A 12,825-nucleotide genomic window follows, 5' to 3' on the forward strand; every position below is an offset into this window, starting at 1 on the left:
AAAAAAACTTAAAATTTTTTTTGTGTGTTTTGAGATAGTCTCATTCTGTTGCCCAGGCTAGAGTACAGTGGCATGATCTCAGCTCACTGCAACCTCTCCCTCCTGGGCTTAAGTGATTCTCCAGCCTCAGCCTCCCCTGTAACTGGGACTACCAGTGCGCACAACCATGCCTGGCTAATTTTTGTAATTTTTAGTAGATACAGGATTCGCCACATTGGCCAGGCTGGTCTCCAACTCCTGACCTCAAATGATCCACCCACCTCAGCTTTCCAAAGTGCTGGGATTACAGGCATGAGCCACTGCCCACTGTGCCCTGCCCTAAATAAATAAAATTTGAGGCAACTGAAGTCATAATTTTTTACAAGGAATCTTCCCTTGTACTTCAGATTTGGAATGCACAAATCCCAGGCATATGAAAGAGTGTGGCAAGGTATACTCAAATAAACGGTATAAACTTCGAAAAAGGTTTTACACATAATTTTCCCCTAGGCAGTAATTTGAGTATTATGATAATATAAAAAAATTACCTTTTTAATTGGAATATAAAACTAGTATACTTTTTAAACTAAAACCTGGGACTTAATGTTCACTTTTCCATGATCTTAGGCTATGTAGCTATCCTTCTTAGTATTTACTTTCTTCTACCTTTAAACTTGTACTAGGAAAGTTTTTGAAAACCATTGTTCAAGGGCAGTAAGAAGATGTGGCACAATTTATCTAGCAATTAAAGATAACATGATGTTATCTTTAGGAAGAAAACCCTAAGGCACTCAAATAATTCTAAAATATATGGAGGTTGTGTTTTCTTGATCTCTGCTCCTGAGTGGTTAGAATGATCCATGAATTGGAAGGACTTCAGTTTGCATTGCAGGGACAGGAGTGCCGAATCCAGATCTTTGTAATAATTAATTTGCATCACTGCTCAGTACTGAGAATACAAGTGCAGAAAGAGAAGCTGAGACATAATTGCTGACAAATACGCTGTGTGTATTGAAAACCAGAAAATTTGCAGCTGCCTCACAGACGCCCTCATTGTGCAGATTTACAATGAACCACAAAAGAGACATGAGGTAAATGTAGGGTGTGTGCTGCAAGCCATTTTGATGAAATATCTGGGGGACAATTTAATATGAAATATCAGTTGGTAAAAGAGACCAGCTGCCCATTAAGAAGGATGACTCAAGCTAAAAATTCTAGCTCCTATTTTATAATGAAAGATTGCCGATATATAAACCTTCATTTGGGATATAAAATAGTGCTGGGTTTGAATGTGTAATGGCTATGCATGCAATCTTCCAAAAATCTGAAGGAACAGTTTTTTTTCTGAATCTGGTCAAAAGTCAAAACTTCTTTGGAAATCCAGCATGCAGGAACTTAGAAACTATCTTAGATGACTTTCTTTTATTCCTAAATCTTTCTGTGTGCATGCATGGGATCTCAATGTACTCTCAGCTATAGAATTCTGAATTATTTTTATGTAGACAACCAACCAATCCTTCTGTTCCAGCCTCCCATGAATCTCACTATTCAAGATAATAGATGTATCTAGCTGCTGAGCTTTCTGAGGTTTTGCAGTGCAAATCAACTTACTTCTAACGCTCACTTCCAGCTTAGCTTTGAGCTTCCTTCAGCCTGCGAAGTTGATTACCACGTGTTCCTATTCTTTCCAGTTTCCAGAATTTTGTTGCTGTCATCTTCTGTTCTGTTCTCTTTGTTCTTGTGGGTTAAAGCCCTTATAAATATAAGTCCCTTCAATCCACCAATGTTAGCTGCACATTCTGCTAGCTTTTACCAGAAAACATTTGAACAAATAAATCTGTTTTAAATGTTGAAACTCTGAGCATCTTGACAACAACAAAGGGAGGAATTTGAGGACTAAGGATCTTCCTGGAGTTCTTTACTGTATCTATGTGGAAATAAAAGCATGTTTTTAAATGAACTTTAGATTCCTGTTGAATGCAAGGTTTATAAATGACCTCTACTTTCATGTTAAGACTTTTCAACTCCCGGCCAGGCACGGTGACTCACACCTGTAATCCCAGCACTTCGGGAGGCCGAGGCAGGCAGATCGCTTGAGATCAGGAGTTCAAGACCAGCCTGGCCAACATGGTGAAACCCCATCTCTACTAAACGCACAAAAATTAGCCAAGCATGGTGGCACACGCCTTTAATCCCAGCTACTGGGGAGGCTAGGCAGGAGGATCCCTTGAACCTGGGAGGCAGAGGTTGCAGTGAGTCGAGATCGCACCACTGCACTCCAGCCTGGGTGACAGAGTGAGACTCCATCTCAAAAAAAAAGAAAAAAAAATTCAACTCCTTTGAAAATGTGTTTATCTCTGAATCCTACCTCTGTGAAACTTTCCTACTGACTTCTTTCTAGTTCGTACACTTGCTGCTGGATATTAGAGTGCTTATCGTTTTAAGCAATAGGCCCTTAAAAGGAAACACATCTTTCCCCAGCTCCTTTCTATATCTTTGTTTAGTAGCATTTGTTTTATCAGTCTTAAGTCGAACTATTAATCCTTATTGGCCATCACCTTGCTCAGTCCTTAGTGCCCATCCCCTTGCCAGGATGCTAACTTTCCACTGGGACTCGGCTCGATTCTAAAGGGAATATTACCAACCTTCACCCATCCTAACAGAACTAGAACTCACAGTCCTTGAAAATATCAATGACAGAAGTGAAGAATCCCTACAGCTATTGCCATTTTAAACTGAGTGTGTTCCAAATGGCCCTGGTAGCTGAGAAGTAGAGATTATTTGATTCAGTTTCCTAAAATAGCTCACTTCTCTCTCATCTCTGTGTTGCTCTTGCTGTCCAGGCTGCCCGCAATGCTCTATCACACAGGTGTCATTTTCCATTCCAGCCTTCTGTTTGTGCAGAAGCGTAAGTTCTCTTCCCTCCCTTCTTCCCTTCTCCATTCCTCCCTTCTCCCTTCCTTTCTTCCTCCCTTCCTCTCTACTTTTTCTATCATATTAAGATCATATTGTACACACAATTTGTACCTTACTTTTCTGTCAAAGCATTTTCCAACACCATTGGCTCTTCTGTGAGGATGTTGTTTTAGTGGCTGATACTTCACCATTTAAACTTTCCTCAATTCATAAATTTCACTCATTCCTTTCCCTCCTGCTTTAAATCCATGTACATCTTCTCCATGGTGCTTCTTCCTGACTCTCTCTGAGAGTGATGCTGCTTCTCTCTTTCTTTTCAAGTAAAAACATGCACTCTTGATTCCACAGCCTCTATTGTTTCTCCTTAATGCTCTTTTTGTTTCTGCTTTTTGAACTTTCAATTTCTGAAATCTGACTCTGCCTAATCATCTCAGGTCTTCCCATCAACAAGTAACCAACCCCGAAACCTTGTTTGACTTTGCTATTCTCTCAAAGCATTGTTCTAAGTGTTTTTCTTAACACATACACTAATTTGTCTCATTGTCTGGTCACCCCAACCACTCTTTAACTTCTTTAGTTAAATTTCTGTTGTCTCCATTCAACTTAAACTGCACTCAAGGCTACGAGAAACCTCCTAGCAGGCCCAGGAGCCTAAACTTACCTAGTGGCCTTTAATCAGTTTTTCTTTTCCTCAACATTCTTCAAAATACCATGGCATTTGCCCTTTCATCTCCCAGTCTCTCTAACCCCTCCCTCACTGTCTTTATTTATGTTTTCTCTATCAGCTCCCATTTTAACTTCTATTCCATTCTGTTTATGCTTAGTTTGTTAATGGTGTGCTTGTTTGTTTGTGGCAACCAAGTAAAGTAGCATAAAAATTTTGGAACTTGAATTCTAGTCTTCCCAAATGGGTTTACTAATACCTTCTATCTGTCACCAGTAATGGTTAGTATGAGAAGCAAGTATCTGTATGTGTTCATTGTGCATATCTAGAATTATATATTTTTAAATTTCATTAAACTGAATTATGCAATGTTCTAATGTCTGTGTGTGTGTGTGTGTGTGTGTGTGTGTGTGTACACAGAGAGAAAGCGAGTGCCTTAAGGCTAGCGAACATAGCTAAAAAAATTGCTGAGAATCAGAAGGATTATTCAACACAAAATTTTAAATGTATGGGGAAAGAAAGGATTTAATAAGAATCACCAAAAGAAAAAACTTTTGGTAAATAGATTCCAGGCTAAATTTGTTTTTGCTAATATGCAGATAAAATAACTAGTGGGCCTCTTCTTAATTTATAGATGTGTGAAAATTAACCTAAAGAAAAAGTAAGAGAGAAAATTGATTTAAGGTATAATAAGTGGCTTGGAGTCAAGCAAAATTGATAAGATAAACCAGATCTCTTTTAAGCTTGCTTCTGCAGGCAAAATAAGCTTTAATTCAAAACCTCATTGAATCTGTATTAGTGAGTATGTAGAGTATATAGCAACTAGATCATAGGAAAGGTCAGTCTCACTATCCCCTGAGGCAGAGTTGGTTGTTCTTACATTACACAGTTGCCTTTGAAGCAAAGGTTAACATCACTGTTATATTAAAGTCTCTCTGCATCCTACAAAGGGACCCTTCAGCCCTGTCTGTCATGAGAACAATGTGGTTTTCCCTTTCTCTCTCCTCAGTTAGGTTATGCTTTATTATATCTCCTTAGTTTATCAAGTCCAGGGATATAGATCTTTAAAAATAGATCACGTCTCCATAATAAGATTCTCCCTGTGAAGGTCTCTGGAAATAAAAACATCATGATGTTTATGTCCTACAGTACCAGCCCATCCTACGATACTTACAAATGTAACATCTGCCTGCACATGAAATCTTGTGGTTATAAACTGAAGTCTGTAGCTGAGAGGCTTTTGTCCAGATGCCCCTGACTTGTAAGTGAAAGTATGAGTACTTACGTTGAAGATTGTCTTAGAAAAGAGGTTCTTAAAAAGGCTGTCACAAGTTTAGAATCTGGCCCTCAAGGAAGGTCAGTCCTCCTTGCTCTCAGGGTGTCTGGTCTCTGCTTCCTTTGGCCTTTTAACAAACTTGTTTGAAAAACAGATTTACAAACATCTGATAGTTCTTTGCCATTCTGATTTCTTAAAAAGTGGCCAGGTGCAGTGGCTCACGCCTGTAATCCCAGCACTTTGGGATACTGATGTGAGCAGATCAGCTGAGGTCAGGAGTTCGAGAAAAGCCTGGCCAACATGGTAAAAGCTGACTCTACTGAAAATATGAAAATTACCCTGGCATCTTGGCATATGCCTACAATCTCCACTAGTTGGGAGGCTGAGGCAGGAGAATCACCTTGAACCTGGGAGGCAGAGGTTGGAGTGAATCGAGATCGCACCACTGCATTCTAGCCTGGGCGACAGAGTGAGACTCTGTCTCAAAAAAAAAAAAAAAAAAAAGAGTGCCTGAAAAGATCCACCTATATCTTTAGATGTTCAAGACTATAATCTACCTCAGGAAGAATATATAGTACAACCTACACAGAAATTAACTTTATTGAAAGAACATTTAAAAAAACAATCATGCTTCAGGAGTTGAAATATCATTACATTTATCTTAAATATTTATTTACTTCAAAACAAGTTTAAAGGCAACCACCAGAATCTGCTCAGTTCTGGTCTTTTACATGTTTACTATCCAACACCTGAGGCACATGAAGGCTCAACCCTCCTCCTACTCCTGTTCCCAAGGCCAAGATGGATCCTAAAGAGGGTGAGGGTGAGGGAGAGGAGTGAGGATGGGGGTGGGCAGACTTCAGGAGCTGCATGTCAGAATGGGTGACATCCCAGCACAGTAACTGCTAGTTCCCACCTGACCTCGGGTTCCATAGACAATCCCACAGTTTGGTATCCCTATACTTAAGCGTGTGTCTCTGACTCCTGTCTAGTATACTAAAGGGGACCTCTCGCATTCATTAATTCATTTATTGACTCATTCAGTCAACACTGACAGTGCTTAGTATGTGTCAGATACTAGGCTGTTTGTTATAATAGAAAGATGAACAGGTGTCTACTCACAGCAATGGAAGGGGAAAAAAAATGACCCAAACATCTTGGATGAGCTTACCTTTTTTGACAATCTCCTGCCATCAGACCTACTGTGCCTTGGCTAGATGATTCCTTTCCCAAATCTTTCACTCTTTCTCTTACAAAACAGACCCTTCCTGCATCTTAAGTAGTCTTTTGTTTATTTTTCTTCAAGACAGAGTCTTGCTCTGTCACCCAGGCTGGAGTGCAGTGGCATGGATCTCAGGTCACTGCAATCTCCGCCTCCCAGGTTCAAGTGATTCTTCTGCCTCAGCCTTCCAAGTATCTGGGATGACAGGAGCACGCCACCACACCTGGCTAATTTTTTGTATTTTTAGTAGAGATAGGGTTTTGCCATGTTGGCCAGGCTGGTCTTGAACTTCTGGCCTCAAGCAATCCGCCCACCTCGGTCCCCCAAAGTGCTGGAATTACAGGCATAAGCCACCATACCTGGCCAATAATGTGATTATTTTATATGATGTTTTTAATAATGCTTTTTCACTTAATATAAGAAGAATGTTTTCTCTCATCATTAAATAGTCTTTTAAATCTAGTTTTAATAGAATCATAAAGTCCCCCTGTGACAGGTATCCCATTATTAACTAGTTCCATTTTCTAATTAATTTTTCTTAAACTTTTTATTACAAATTACTCTGTGGTGGACATCCTATAAATATATATCTGCATAAATGTAGCACTGTCAAACTATTGGTTACCTGTCCAATATCCACTATCCCCTTCTTCCTTAATTAAAGAACCCTGAGCAGCACCCTGAACATTGAAAATATCGCAGCCCCGATCCCACGCTCTGTAGCAACTTGGCGTGGTCATTTGCCCCAGTGCTGGCTAATGATATATAAGCAGAAGTGTACTAGCTATTAGGTTGGTGCAAAAGTAATTGTGGTTTTCACCATTACTTTTAAAAACCGCAATTACTTTTGCACCAACCTAATAGAACTTCCGGATTAAAATAATCTAAATCAGGGTGTCCCATGCCTTTTGTTCTGCAACGTCCTTCTTTCTGTCTAGAACATGGACCTGATTCCCAGAGGTGCATTGGCCAGCGTGCAAGCCTGAGGAAGGAAGCCACACCATGAGGACAGTGAGGCCTGATCCTTGATGATGTCTGTCCTTGAACTAGCCATCCACAGAGTGCTCCCATACATCCCCTTATATGAGCAATGTAAACCTGTTTTAATGTAATTCTTCTCAAATCCTCCACATGGCTATGTTTCACTATTTTCTTTGAGTGGTGGCTAAACAGAATATAATTTTTATAGAGTTTATTATTTTAAAATATGTTCAATTAAAACTCAATTATAAGACAAAGAATCCAAATAAAATATTTGAACCTAACGATTTGAGTACACATTTCACTAAGGAAAAGAAAAAAGACAAAGAGGAGAAGGAAAAGAAATGTAAATGGCTAATAAACACATAAGAAAATGTTCAACATTATTAATTGTTAGGAAAATGCAAAATAAAATCACAGTAACATGCCAAGAAATTACTAATAAATTTTCATTTATTACAATGGTTATAATTAAAAGAGACAGACAATATCATGCGCTGGCAAAGATTGGAGAACTGGAATTCTATTGCACAGCCATTAGGAATTAAAATGGCATAGCCACTTTGGAAAACAGTTTGGCAGTTTCTCACAAAATTAAACATAAATTACCATCCGACCCAGCAATTCTACTTCTAGGAATCTATCCAAGAGAAATAAAACCATACATTCACGGGAAAACATGAACACTAACTTTCATAGCAGCATTACTTATAATAGCCAAAATGTGAAATTATCCAAATGGTTCCTGAATAAATGACCAGTGCATGAATCATAGACAGATAGTGAAGTCTATATAGCAATAAAAATAAAAGATGCACTACTACTGCGACAACATGGATGAAACTCAAAAACAGTGTGCTAAGTTGAAGAAGCATCCAGATGCAACAGTCTGCATAGTGTATAATTCCCTTTATATGAAATATGTGGAAAAGCAAATTTACAGAGCCAGAAAACAGATTCACGGTTGCTGAAGACTGGTGGTAGAGGCTAGGAATAACTGCAGAACAGCACTAGTGGACATTTGGAGTGATGGAAATGTTTAAAAATGGGTGTGGTGATGGTTGTACAACTATAAATTTACTAAAATCATCGAACTATACACTTACAAAGGGTGAATTTTGTTTTATGTAAACTAGACCTCAATAAATCTGTTTTTAAAAATATATCCAAATATTTTCACTACAAGTGTACTATTGTGGTTAAAATTTTTGTTGTTGCCAAAACATTAAAGCCTAATGGTAGAGATAAATTATGCTTGAGACAGTTTGAAAGTTTTCCTTAAGCATGAGATACTCTTTGTGCAGAAGAAAAATCTCATGCTGCAAATGTGAATGACTAGGAATAGAATGAAGAAAAGAACTCCTGAGATATATATGGACCAAAATGTAAAAAAACAAACAAACAAAAAGACTGCAATTTAGGTCACTTCACTTTGGAAAGCCGAAATGATATTTTGAAACCTTCCCAAATGAACAGATGGCCTAAACCCTTGGTCCAAAAATGGAACCATTTATTTAATTCTTACTATGCATCAGGCACTGTGTTAAACAAACAGTTTTCAACATTTGTTCCTTACTAACTCACAACTCCATGAGGTATTAAACATCTCCACTTTACAAATGAGAAAACGGAGACTCAAGGAGGCTTAGCCTCCTCCCCAATAGCAGGAGATGGCAAAGCAGAGCCTCTGATCAAACCCCAGCATAATTCCAATGCTGAAGCCTACACTGTTAACCTCTACAATGGACCACTTTCAAATCACCATGCCTCATCTCAGAGCTCCAGTGCCTAGAAAAACAAAAGGCACTTAGTAGGTAATCAGCAAACATTTGTCAAATGCATTTTAGTTGAGATATATATGGAAGTAATATACTGTGCTCTTAATAATCTTGTAGAAATAAGCTGATTATTATCAATTTTTTTGTTTTCTTCTATTCTCAATTAGTAACACAAATGGGAGCATTTTATAATGTGGATCCTCCTCAGGGCATTCTTGTTTGCTTGCTGTTGTTTTTACCCAAACCAATGTTCCAGATTTTAGATCCTGACTAACTCCTCCTCCTTTAGGAGGTTAGCTTTTTTGGTTTAGGAATACATCATTGGGACATCTTTCCCAAACTTCAGCTCTATACTTCTAGAATTCTATTATACATGTTCCTCTGTGTGTCCTGACAAATCAGATCTTTTCCACCAGTCTCCTCTTCCTCGTTTTCTTATATCTATTAATGGCAACAAAAATCTACCCTGTCAAAAATCTATCCTGTGGCTCAGACATAGAAATTTGATAGCCATGTTTAGTAAATGTCCAATTCCTATCATTTCTACCACCACAAGTTCTCCACATCACCTGAATCCAATTCCTATATATAACTCTCTCGTCATATGACATCTTATCTCACTGGACTTCTGTTACCAAGGAATCGATCCCTGGATGTCAACTTTCATTTTCATCCCATAGACAATTACCCTAGAGGAAAGTTCTTAATATCTTGTCAACTCCAACTCTGTTACTTCTCCTGAACGTGGCTGGTTATAACTCAAATCGAAACCAGATGTAAACGGAGCCAAAACAAGTGCAACCGCAACTCAAAATGTCAAGTGTCAATGTCAAGGAACTCACATAGCATGTGCTGTGTGTCTGACTTATTTATTGTTGTTGTTTGATTTTTTTTCTTAGTTTGGGGAGAGAAGAGGGAGCTTTGGTGAAAGCTGTTTGATTGTAAGCTACTTCTCAATGACAATGACAGAAAAATATGATGAAGCAGGAATCAATGTTCAAAAATGAGCTGGAAATACCTGCTTAGGGTGGGCTGTAGCTGATATTGACTAGCATGTTAGAGAATTGAACTTATTTCAGTATAAATTATGTAATAAAAAGATAAATCAGTAGTTATACAAAATGTTTCATGGTAATTCTTATTTTCACACACAAAAGTATATTTTTCTTTGAAATGCCATCATTTTCCTCTGGAGAAACTGGAATCAAACAAATGCACTATTTAGAAAAATTAAATCTCAGAATACATTTTTAAGACATAACAATAACGCAAAAAATTCTGATTTCCAAAATATTTATCTATCACAAAACATAGTTTGCTAACTTATTTGTCTATGTACAGCTCACAGCAATGCTCTTCTCCTTTATCACAGAGTTCTCAAATAAACTGTGGGTAGCCTAGAATATTCAGAGCTTCAATTGCCAAAGCTGCTGAATACCCAGAATTTCATTTTATTGGACTTTTATGCAAAATTCATATGGAGTTACATAAAATTCTGCCTCTGAGCATTTTCAATGTAATATTTGTTTCTTCGTTGAAGACTGTTTTTCACTTTCTAGGTTTACATATGAATTCATTTTCAGAGTGCCTTTATCTTGGTTTCTACTACATAGTCTCATCTCAGTGGAGCTCTGCGTTGCATTACCAATGGTGGGCTATCATTCTCCAGGTGTATGTATTGTCAGTAATTTTACTATTGGGCTTTCTTTGTTTCTCTAGTAACTTCCATATAATACCAATTAATTGTTCTGCTGTAACTATTATTATTGTCAATTTAGCCTTTACTAGAACTTTGGTTTATTGTTAAGAATTTATTTCGCCTGATAAGAATTTGTTAATATACTAACAAACTTAAAGTGATTTATTGAGCACCTATCTGTGCCAGATATTTGGCTAGACCCAGGGGAATTCAAAAACAAGTCAGAACAAAGCCAGAGGCCTCACATAACCTGACTTCAAAAGATATTACAAGGCTATAGTAACTAAAACAGCATGGTATTAGCATAAAAATAGACACATACACCAATGAACAGAATAGAAAACCCAGAATTAAAGACACACATTTACAGCCAAGTGATTCTCAACAAAGCCAACAAGATCTTACATTGGGGGAAAACACCCTCTTCGATAAACGATGCTGGGAAAATTGGATAGCCACATGAAGAATGAAACTGGACCCATGTCCCTTATCATGCACAAAAATTAACCCAAAATACATTACAGACTTAAATGTAAGACCCAAAACTACAAAAAACAAACAAACAAAGAAAAACCTAGGTAAAACTCTCCTGGACCTTGGTCTAGGCAAAGAATTTGTGACTAAGACATCAAAAGCACAGGCAATAGAAACAAAAATAGCCAATGGAACTTAATTAAACTAAAAAGCTTCTGCACAACCAAAGAAATAATCAAGAGTGAAGAGACACCCTGTTGAATAGGAGAAAATGTCTGGAGACTATTCATCCAACAGGAAATAATATCCAGAATATACAAGGAACTCAAACAACTCAATAACAACAACTAAATAATCCCACTAAAAAGCGAACAAAGACATGAATAGACATTGCTTAAAAGAAGACATACAAATGGGTCACAGGTATGTGAAAAAATACTCAACATTACTAATCATAAGAGAAATGCAAATCAAAACCACAATGCGATAATCATTTTATCGAGTCAAAATGGCTATTTAAAAAAAGACAAAATAATAGATGCTGGTGAGGATGTGGAGAAAAGGAAACCCTTATACACTGTTGGTAGGAATGTAAACCAGTACATCCCCTGTGGAAAGCAGCATGGAGATTTCTCAAAATCTAAAAATAGAATTACCATTTGACCCAGCAATGCCACTACTTGGTTTCTACCCAAGCAAAAAGAAATAAACTCATGAAAGGGATACCTGCACTTGCATGTTTATTGCAGTATTATTCACAATAGCAGAGATATGAAATCAACCTAAGCATCCATCAGTGGATGAATGGATAAAGAAAATGTGGTATATATACACAATAGAATATTATATGACCATAAAAAAGAATGAAATCATGCTATTTGCAGCAACATGGATGGAACTGGAGGCCATTATCTTAAGTGAAATAATCTATGCACAAAAAGACAAATATCACATGTTCTCACTTATATGTGGGAGCTAATAAATTTGATTACATGGAGGTAGAGAGTGGAAAGATAACAGAGACTGGTAAAAATGGGGAGGAGGATGAAGAGAAGTGGCTTAAAAGTGCAAACATACAGTTAAATAGAAGGATTAAATACAGTGTTTGATTGCAGAGTAGGGTGACTATAGTTAACAAAAATTTACTGTACTTTGACTTGATCACTCTGTCTTATATACATGCAAGAGCATTTCACAAGTACCCCATAAATCTGTACAAATAAAAAAGACACAAACATTTGCTCCAGTGAGGATAAAATATGATAAGACGAAAGGTCTTTCCTTAAATAACAGTGTGAGCTAACCAGAGATTATCAACTTGATCATCTTTTTTCCCTCTGATATAGACCAACAAATGATTAGTTGTTTGTTGTTATATGGAAGCATATTATAATCAAACAGATACCATTGTCTGAATTTGCTGGTTTGGCTAGTCTAGTAATATACAATAAAAAAAAAAAAGAACTACAACTAGAAATTAGAATTCTAGCATTTCAAAAATGCCTTTTACATGCATTATTTTATTTATGCATCACAAACCCTAAACATTAAAGAAAACAGACCTTTCCTACCTACCTTACACTACAGTAAGACACCAGGTGCTCACAGACACCAAGATTATTGTTTGAAGAAGTGTGTAAATATAAGCCTCCAGGACAGCTTATTCCTAGTTGGTTTTTATTTCAAGACATTATATGGGAGTTGGCAGTTATACATTATAGACATTTAATAAATATAAGTTCGATAAATAATATTATTAAGAATTTTTATTAATAATTATTATCAAAATTATTATTCTTAATAATAAATTTCTGATACTTGGTGCTACAATTTCAT

General features: G+C 37.1%; 1 long non-coding RNA gene across 7 annotated transcripts in view; it reads right to left on the minus strand.

The window, feature by feature from the left end:
• The window catches only part of LINC02840 (long intergenic non-protein coding RNA 2840), a 121,122-nt gene that overhangs the window by 94,948 nt on the left and 13,349 nt on the right, over positions 1–12,825 (minus strand). The window lies entirely within an intron of this gene.

Source organism: Homo sapiens, chromosome 6, assembly GCF_000001405.40.
Source record: "Homo sapiens chromosome 6, GRCh38.p14 Primary Assembly".
NCBI classification, from domain to species: domain Eukaryota; kingdom Metazoa; phylum Chordata; class Mammalia; order Primates; family Hominidae; genus Homo; species Homo sapiens.